Below are 10,483 nucleotides of genomic sequence, written 5' to 3'. Positions count from 1 at the left end.
CAGTTCTGAGGTAAATACTACTACATAGGTGGTTGTTACTCTTCTCAGGCTTTGTTATAACAGAACAAAGAAATTCACACTACTTCAGAAGAGGATCTGATGAGACATCAGAAGGAACTTCCTAACACTAGGAATCATTAAATGCTGGAGGAAAGGAACACAAAAAGAGACATATCTTGTTTCATTTGAATAGATTAAAAAGTGGAACAAATTGAATAAATGAAGAGTACTTAGAACATGAAGATAGAAAAGTTGATCTTTCAATTAATGCTTGTTATCATTTGTGGCCAGTAAATTCTACTGAGTTCCCGAGTTCTCTTGATTATGGTCAAAAGGCATAGGTGGCTTTCCAGAGTGCCACCTGTGCTTTTAAATTGTAATCAAGAGTGATCTATTATAATCTTTAGGCTATCTTCTTTTTTATACCAAAGTCATCAAAATGGTTTTTAGACATGTACAAGATGAGTTAAGAGTCTTCCAAGAAAGAGTATGTTTTTCAAATCACCTCTTCTGCTCATTCTTTAACAAGGAAATGGAATGTCACATGGTTTTATCCTCAGCTTCTTCATAGCTGTCTTCATATCAGCATTTCTGAGTGTGTAGATGAGGGGGCTCAACATAGGTGTCATCACTGTGTAAAACATGGAGAATATCTTATCCACAGAGAAGCTGCAGAAAGGCCTCAAATAGATGAATATACATGGCATGAAGATCAGGCTGACCACTGTCAGGTGAGAAGCACAGGTAGAGAGGAACTTGTTCTGGCCCTGGCCGAAGTGTGTTCTCAGGGTGATCAGGATGACAGCATAAGAGAATAGTAAGACCAAGAAGCAGACAAGAGAGAGCAGACCACTGTTGGCTATCATCAGCACCTCTACCACATAGGTGTCCATGCAGGCCAGCTTGATGACCTGTGGGACATCACAGTAGAAGTTGTCCAGTTCATTGGGGCCACAGAAAGGCAGCTGGATGACTAGTATGACCTGCATGATAGAGTGGATAAAACCCCCACACCAGCAGGCAAGAACCAACCAAAGGCACAGCTGGGGGTTCATGACTTATAAGGTAGCGCAAAGGGTTACAGATGGCAACATACCTGTCATAGGCCATAACTGTCAGCAAAAACATCTCACTGGCTCCTAGAAAGTGGAGGAAGTAGATCTGGGCCAGGCATCCTGAAAAAGAGATGCTCTTGCCCTGCTGTAGGAAATCCCCTAACATCTTTGGCAGAGTAACACAGCTTAGGCATAGGTCAATGAAAGAGAGATGACCTAAAAAATAATACATAGGAGATTGGAGCAGATGAGCATGGGCTTGCACTGTTACCACTATCAAGAGGTTTCCCAGGACAATAGCAATGTAAAAAAACAAAAATAGTAATAAGAGAAATAGCTGCAGCTCCCAAGAAGATGATAGGCCCAGAAGAACAAGTTCTGTCACGTTAGAATCTTGTTTTTTTTCATCAAGCCAAGAATATCAAGTGACCTAGAGAAAGAAGAATTAAATCAGAACAAGGGAGATTTAAGGTATCAATCTATCTACGTATCTATCTATCTATATAGATAGATATAGATATACACTATATATATAGTATGTAATACATAAATTACATAAAAATTATTTTAGCAAATTCTATGAGGTAGTATAGGCAGTAGTCTTATATTGATAGAACATTGAATTTTGTTCACTTCTTCCAACTCTTTATTCCTGTACTACTTTTAAATTGCATTCACAATAAACTAGAAAGAAACACAATGACCTGGACATGAGGTGGTAAGTGCTAATCTTTCCATTTCTTTTAATAGACAGAATAATGTCCTCTAAGGACAAAAGTTCTGGAATGGAGTATCTAGATCGAATGCCTAGCTCCACCATTACCAATGGAGTACTCTCAGGCAAGGAAATAAACCTCTCTGAATTTTGTTCTTTGGTTATTCAATTTAATGCAGAGTTAATAATATCTCCCAAGATTGTTCTGAGAATCAAATGTAATGCCTATGTGCACCATAAAAAAAAAACTAGATCTCTCAAGATGAGGAAATATCTTACTCATCTTTGTATCCACAACACAATATTTACTGCATAGCAGAAGCTCAATAATTTATCAAATCGAAGGAAGAATGTTTTGTAAACAACAAATTGCTATGTTGTACAAAGTTTAGTAGTTACTGTGAATAAATATATTAGGAAACAAATCATTTAGGAAGGATTGAAAAAGCTCATATTTTTTGTCTTTACTATCCCAGGTTACAGAAATTGGGAAGTTTGTAAAAATGAGGTAAGAAGAAACAGTCTCAATCTTTAAGATTTAGGGAAGCATCAGACTGGGGATGAGTAGGACAATGATTAAAAGACACCAATCACCAAGACAAGAGACCAAGAGCCATGACCCATATCGTGGAGGCATGCACAAAAGCCCACCATGACCCTTTTACAGGACAAAGTAATAAGAGAAACCAGAGTTGTGTTGCTTCTGGACTTTTCAACAACCATAGATACATAAGAAAATAAAAGATTTGCTAAGATATTGTTAGATATATTTTCCCCTGCTCTACACTCATATTCATCCCCAATGTTTGGTGACAGTACCTTGGATTACAAACAGAAAATCAGAGAATGTTGATACATTTCTTCCATTGCAGTAAAAATTAGTAGATGTCTCCCTGTCTAGAATTTTTTTTTATCTAGAACCAGCTATAGACAAAATATGAAATAAGACAAGATTTTATTTTGTGTTCCAAGCTTTGTAATCCATGTTGCACTTGGTTCTATCAAGTCATTCAGAGAATGTTATCCAATAAAATCCTTCATAATAGATATCAGGTATTTACATAGACAATGCAGAAAAGTACTTAAATTCTAAAAATGAAAACCTCTAATGACAAGAAAACTTTCTCTAGGGTATTATTCCAAGATAAGCCAGTGAGAGAGAGATTTGGGGCTCAAGTCACATTTGGACGCCTCTGTCACACCATGATTGTGACCATCCTCTTCATCTACCTATATAGCCAAGTGCACAGGTGCATCTAAATCTATAATCTCATAACTGATAGAAGGAATCACCTCACTTTCTAGAGTCAATTGGAAAATAAACCAAAGCAAGAAATACAAGTTAGGGAACGATTTGCTGTTATGTGTACAGCCCTACTTGAGCTCTGCTATATTGGAAATTCTCTAATCTTTTTTGGATGCACCAAGGATTGTAAAGTTCCATAAGAAAACATCATTTTGATGTTCTTTTCAGTTATCTAAAATGTATAATTAACAGGGGTCAAGTCTCATTAAAATTATGCATCTAATTTTTAAAATAATCTTGGGAAAACTGGAAAAGTCTGAGAAAGAGAAACCAAAGTTATTTTTTTAATTAAAAAAGGTTTCTAGAAGCCAGAAAACAATGGGAACACATAATCCTACACACTGTTATAATTTAGTCTCAGAATATGGCTGAGAAACAATGTGATTATTTCCTAATGTGAAGGGCATAGTATACCAAGGGTGTACGGTACACTTGTTATTTCCACTGAACATATGTTGGGAAAGAAAAGATTACATTAAAACAGACAATATTAAAATTAAATAAATCAGAAGGATAGATTAAATAAGAGAAGAATATGTAAAATATGTTATAAGCCAAATTACTACAAACCATTTATAAGCCTGATTTTATGGCCTACTTGTTTAAAGTAAGATTTAATATTAGGAAATTTCAGCACTATAAATATTCTGGACAGTTCCTAGGTGATTACTGTGATAAGATTTTGATTAATAATGATATAAAAATCTTTACACTTGCATAAGTTAAAAATAGGCAGCCCTGTATGTTAGTTATTTGAGTTTTAATCAAGGTAAGGGCTGGATTCTGGTTATTCTTGGATTTTTTTTTTAATGACAGTAAATTTGCAATCTTCAGACAATATAAAACATAATACTAAACAATATAGAAAGCTCCCTTTTAGGTTTAATAACATTTCCACATTTGGTTGAGTCATCTCCCAGCTTCTGAAGTCTGATCACAGTAGGAAATTAAGCCTGTCACTGTTCTGCAAAGAATAAAAAGAACAATACACCCAACAACATGAACGAATGTCTACATCCCAAAACTAACCCCAGTCACAATATAATTTCCCTTGCCAAAGCCCTGCAGAGCTTGGAAAGCCACATTCAAAAATACCAGCTCCATTATCCCATTAGCAGTAAGATCAGACCCTACCAAGCATTTCATGTTTCATATCCTAAAAATAACCTAAGAATGTGAAAAAGTCAATAAAAATATTTTTAAGTACACAAAATGAGCCAAAAAAATTGAGAATGCTTAATGCAAAATGAAAGTCTTTATGGAAGGGTCCTGCTTAGAGAGAAGAGGACAAACTAAAGCACCTTAAATAATCAAAGGCTACTTGTGTACAGCTGAGCAGCTGGTCTCTTGTCTTTCTAAACAAGGAACCAGAGATGTTTATGAGGAAAATATGAAGAAAAGGAGTAAAATTTTTCTCCTGGTAACTTGTGCATGTGTGTGTTTTAAGCATAACAGTATACCATATTTTGCTATTATGTTTGTCTTGTATTTATTTTGGTCTGTGTGGAGCTAAATGCATTATTAGAGGAGGAAATTTGACTATCTCAACAATAGAAAATAATTGGCTAGCTGGAGTTTCAATTCCATATGAATTCCTTTTAGACGCATTTGATGCATTTTTAAATTTCTCCTGAAAAACAAGAAGTGGACACCATTAGTTGAAGATGGTACCTATAGTGGTATTCTCTATTGAGAAAGAAACAATCTTTCTGTTCTAAACTTCTTTGGCCTTGTTTGAAACATTGCATTCTATATTGTACCTGTGGAACGTAAAGAAGATTTTAGTAAAAAGAAACTTTAATAATTAAAGAAATGGAAAACAGAATCTAGAAGGGACTATAACAGAATTAGGTAGTCTTAAGACAATATTGCCATGAAACCTGTGCCTTCAGTTATGTAAATTTGGTCCTATCGTATCCAAATATTGCAACTGTCTTCTAAGATGCCACTAGCCCTAGAATTCCTTGATGCTATAGGAATTTCACTGTTCTGTGAATGTTTCTAAGTGTAAATTTAAAACAACAAAACTCAAATGATCTCTTAAATTTAAAAATGATCAATGCCAGAGTATATAGAGAAAAAGAGTGAGGACAACAGTAAACATAAAAATAGCATCAGAGTCAGACAGAGGAGCAGGAAGGGGAGGGGAGCTTTGAGTAAATATATCTGAGAAACCTACATCTTTGCTTGTCAGAAGCTATGTGGTTTCAAGGAAGGAAGATGTTATCCTGCCATTCATCCTACCAACCCTCTCTTCAGCCTCAGGCCAGCAAAATGGACAATCCTCAGGTGACCATCACAGCTGCCCAGCACATGTCTTAATTGCTTCCTTATAAGCCAAGCCCTAGTTGACGGCTGGCTGTATGAACTGGAAATATCTCCTATCCCTAGGACTCTAGCTGTATCTGAGGTTGCTATGGTTCTTACAACACTACTTAGCTTAATGAGCCCTGGGATTCCCTAGGCTGCTGCTGTTTGAGTTCTGTTAAATTTAGTTCTTGCTAGGAAGTTGACCTTGGGACCTGCAGGCTCTGAAGCAATTAGACCTGTTGCATAACAGAACCCACTTATTTTACTTACTTTGGATTGATTTATTTGTAATTTGTCATTGATTTGTTTGTATATGCCATCCATTTTCAATGCCTCAGTCTGTATCTGAAGAAGATTCTCACTGGTTTTTATCTCAATCATGCTCCTTGAAGTAGCAGAAGCTGAAGGATAAATACCAACCTAAGGTATTTATCTCTGAGATAATTCCAGGGATAGCTTGGTATTTATCCTTTAAGGTAATATAGAGTGTCTTGATACAACACCTGATTTCTTGAAACCTCAAGCAGCTTACCTACTGGCATTTATTCATAGATCGTATCCAGAAAACACAGCTGTTGTCATTAGTAATTTAATTTTTTATAGACTGTCAGTCTAATTTTTAAATATCATAAAACATAATTCTCAAACAAATACATAATGAACACATCAAAAACTGTATTTAATTAATGAGGGATAGCAGGATAACAAAGTCCGTTCCAAAAAGAATATGAAAAGTGTGATTTTACATAATCACAGCAAAAAAATGAACACTAAAATAAAATTGTTAAATTTGATGTAATCCAGTTAATGTCTCATGACACAGATTTACCTATATAACAAACCTGCACGTGTACCTCTGAACTTAAAAGTTAAAAATATCAACATAACAAAAATATTCATATTTTTTCATACAGCTATAAAAAGGGGCAATACGACCTTAATCTTTGGGATTATCTTTTCTACCACACTAAAAAGATACAATGTAGCAGTTTTCTATAACATCTAGCTATATGTAATTATACAATGTCTGAGATTCCATAATTCATATATAGTAAGTTAAACAAAATCACATTTGCTAGAGAGTCAGATGACCCTTAGCTGGGCTTGCTAAACAATGTTTTTTGTTTTGTTATTTTTTATTTCTGTGGGTACAGAGTAGGTGTATACATTTATAGAGTATGAGATATTTGGGTACAGGCATACAATACATAATAATCGCATCATGGTAAATGGGGTATTCGTCCCCTCAAGCATTTATCCTTTGTGTTACAAACAATCCAATTATATTCTTTTGGTTATTTTTAAATGACAATTGAGTCATTATTGACTATATTCACCCTGTTGTGCTATCAAATACTAAATATTATTTATTCTTTATATCTTTTTGTACCCATAACTATCCCCATTTTTCCACATCCCACACCTCCACCATCCTTCTCAGTTTTTGGTAACCATCATTCTACTCTTTATCTGCATGATTCGATCGTTTTAATTTTCAGTTCCCACAAGTAAGTGAGAATATGGGAAGTTTGTCTATCTGTGCCTAGCTTATTTCACTTAACACAATAATCCCCATTTCCGTCCATGTTGTTGCAAATGATCTGATTTTTTTTATGGCTGAATAGTACTCTATTGTATATGTATGTGCCACATTTTCATTATTCATTCATCTATTGATGGAAACTTAGGTTGTTTCCAAATCTTGGCTATTGTGAACAAAGCTAAAACAAACATGAGAATGCAGATAACTCTTTGTTATACTGCTATTTTTTCTTTCGGGTCTACATCTAGCAATGAGGTTGCAAGATCGTAAAGTAGCTCTACATTTAGTTTTTGGGGGAATCTCCAAACTGTTTTCCATAGTGGTTGTACTAATTCACATTCCCACTGACAGAGTATGAGAGTTCCCTTTTCTCCTCTTCCTCACCAGCATTTGCTATTGCCTGTGTTTGGATAAAAGCCATTTTAAATGGGGTGAGATGATACCTCATTGTAGCTTTGAGGAACATTTCTCTGATGATCAATGGTGTTTGAGCACCTTTTTATGTATCTGTTTGCTATTTGTATTGTCTTTTGAGAAATCTCTATTCAGATCCTTTGCCCATTTTTAAATTAGATTATTAGGGTTTTTTCCTATAGAGTTGTTTCCTGGTTATTAATCCCTTGTCAGATGGGCAGTTTGCAAATATTTTCTCCCATTCTGTGGGTTTGATCTTCACATTGATTGTTTTTCCTTGGATGTGCAGCAGCTTTTTAACTGGATGTGATCCCACTTGTCCGTTTTTGCTTTGGTGACCTGTGTTTGTGGAGTGTTGCTCAAGAAATCTTTACCCAGACCAATATCTAAGAGAGTTTCCCCCAATGTTTCCTTTTAGTAGTTTAATTTTTTGAGGTCTTAGATTTAAGCCTTTAATACATTTTAATTTGATTTTTGTATATGCCAAGAGATAGGGGTCTTGTTTCATTCTTCTGCATATGGATATCCAGTTTTCCCAGCACCATTTATTGAAGAGACTGTTCTTTCCCCAATGTATGTTCTTGGCACTTTTGTAGAAAATGAGCTCACTGTTGATGTACGGATTTGCTTCTGGGTTCTCTATTCTGTTCCATTGACCTATGGGTCTGTTTTTTATGCCAGTACCATGTTGTTTTGGTTACCATAGCTTTATAGTGTAGTTTAAAGTCAGGTAATGTGATTTATCCAGTTTTGGTTTATTTGTTCAGGATAGCTCTGGGTATTCTGGGTCATTTGGTTATATCAATTTTAGGATTGTTTTTTCTATTTCTGTGAAGAATGGCATTGGTATTTTGATAGAGATTGAATCTGTAGATTGCTTTTGGTAGTATAACATTTTAACAATGACTGTTTCAGCTAATGAACATGGAATATCTTTCCGTTTCTTTGTGTCTTCTTTAGTTTCTTTCGTCAATGTTTTATAGTTTTCATTGTAGTGATTTTCACTTTTTTGGTTAATTCCTAGGTATTTAATTTTATTTGTAGCTATTGTAAATGGGATTACTTTCTTGATTTGTTTTTCAGACAGTTCACTGTTGACATATGGAGATGCTACTGACTTTTATATGTTGATTTTGTATCCTGCAACTTTACTAAATTTGTTTATCAGTTCTAATAGTGTTTTGGTGGAGTTTTTAGGTCTTTCCTAATACAAGATCACATCATCTGCAAACAAGGATAATTTGACTTCTTCCTTTCCAATTTGGATGCCTTTTATTTCTTTCTCTTGTCTGACTGCTTTAGCTAGGACTTCTAGTACTATAGTCAATGAAGTGGTAAAAGTTGGCATTCTTGTTGTGCTCCAGATATTAAAGGCTTTCAGTTTCTTTCCATTCAGCAAAATTCTATCTGTGGGTCTGTCATATATGGCTTTTATTATGTTGCAGTTTGTTCCTTCTATACCCAGTTTTTTAGAATTTTTATGATGAATGGATGTTGAACTTTATCAAATTTTTCAGCATCAGTTGAAATGATCATATGGTTATTCTCCTTCATACTGTTTATTGTTTATCATATTGATTGATTTGCACATATTGAACCATTCTTGCATCCCTGGGATAAATCCTACTGTGGGAGCTAAAAATTAAAACAATTGAACTCATGGAGATATAGAGTCGAAGGAAAGTTATCAGAAACTGAGAAAGATAGTGGTTAGGGGGATGGGAGGGCAGGTAGGGATGGTTAATGGGCACAAAAAGTAGTTAGAAAGAATGAATAAAATCTAGTATTTAATAGTACAAGAGGATGACTATTGTGTATTATAATTTAATTGTACATTTTAAAGTAACTAAAAGAGTGTAATTGAATTGTTTGTAACCCAAAGGATAAAAATGCTTGAGGGGAATGGATACCCCATTTACCATTATGTGATTATTATGCATTACATGCCTGTATCTAAGTATCTCATGTACTCAATAAATATATGCACCTACCACATACATACCAAAGTTTAAAGTCAATTAAAAAAAAAGAAAAAGCCAGGCACGGTGGCTCACACCTGTAATCCCAGCACTTTGGGAGGCCAAGGCAGGTGGATCAACTGAGGTCAGGAGTTCAAGATCAGCCTGGCCAACATGATAAAACCCCGTCTCTACTAAAAACACACACACAAAAAAATAGCTGGGCATGGTGGTGGGCACCTGTAATCCCAGCCACTCGGGAGGCTGAGGCAGAAGAATCACTTGAACCCAGGAGGCGGAGGTTGCATTGAGCTGAGATGGCACCATTGCACTCCAGCTTGAGCAACAAGAGCGAAACTCTGTCAGAAAGAAAGAAGAAAGAAAGAGAGAGAGAGAGAAAGAAAGAAAGAAAGAAAGAAAGAAAGAAAGAAAGAAAGAGAAAGAAAGAAAGAAAGAAAGAAAGAAAGAAAGAAAGAAAGAAAGAAAGAAAGAGAAAGAAAGAAAAGAAGGGAAGGGAAGGGAAGGAAAAGAGAGAGAGAAAGAAAGAAAGAAAGAGAAAGAAAGAAAAGAAGGGAAGGGAAGGGAAGGGAAGGAAAAGAGAGAAAGAAAGTAAGTAAAAAGAAAGGAAGGAAGGAAGGAAAGAAAAAAAGAAAAAGAAAAGAAAGAAAGAAAGAAAAGAAAGAAAGAAAAGAAAAAGAAAGAAAGAAAAAAGAAAAGAAAGAAAATAAATTACAAGGCAATAACATGATCTTAGATGCGAAAATTCTCAACAAAATACTAGCAAACTGAATCCAATAACACATTAAAAAGACAGTTCACCACGCCCAAGTGGGTTTTATTCCAGGAATTCAAGGGTTATTCAGTATAAATGAATCAAAAAGTTTGATACATTACACTGATAGAATAAAAGACAAAAAGTGTATGATCATTTCAATAGATACAAAAACAGCATCTGATAAAATTTATCATTGCTTCATGATAAAAATTAAACAAATTTAGGCATAGAAGGAGCATACCTCAACATAATAAAGGCCATATATCAGAAACTCACAGTGAAAATCATACTGACATAGGACAAACAGAAAATCCTTCTTCTAAGAACTGAAAAACGACAAGGATTCTCACTTTCACAACACCTATTTCATATAGTATTGGAAGTTTTGGCCAGAGTATCAGCAAGAG

General features: G+C 35.0%; 1 pseudogene; it reads right to left on the bottom strand.

The window, feature by feature from the left end:
• Window positions 1–206: 206 nt before the first annotated feature.
• On the bottom strand, window positions 207–1,476 carry LOC107987379 (olfactory receptor 4Q3-like; annotated as a pseudogene).
• Between the last annotated feature and the right edge of the window lie 9,007 nt (window positions 1,477–10,483).

The sequence above is a fragment of the Homo sapiens genome, assembly GCF_000001405.40.
Source record: "Homo sapiens chromosome 15 unlocalized genomic scaffold, GRCh38.p14 Primary Assembly HSCHR15_RANDOM_CTG1".
Lineage (NCBI taxonomy): Eukaryota > Metazoa > Chordata > Mammalia > Primates > Hominidae > Homo > Homo sapiens.
The sequence above is the reverse complement of the archived record's forward strand: the minus strand, read 5'-3'. Positions and strand labels throughout refer to the sequence as shown.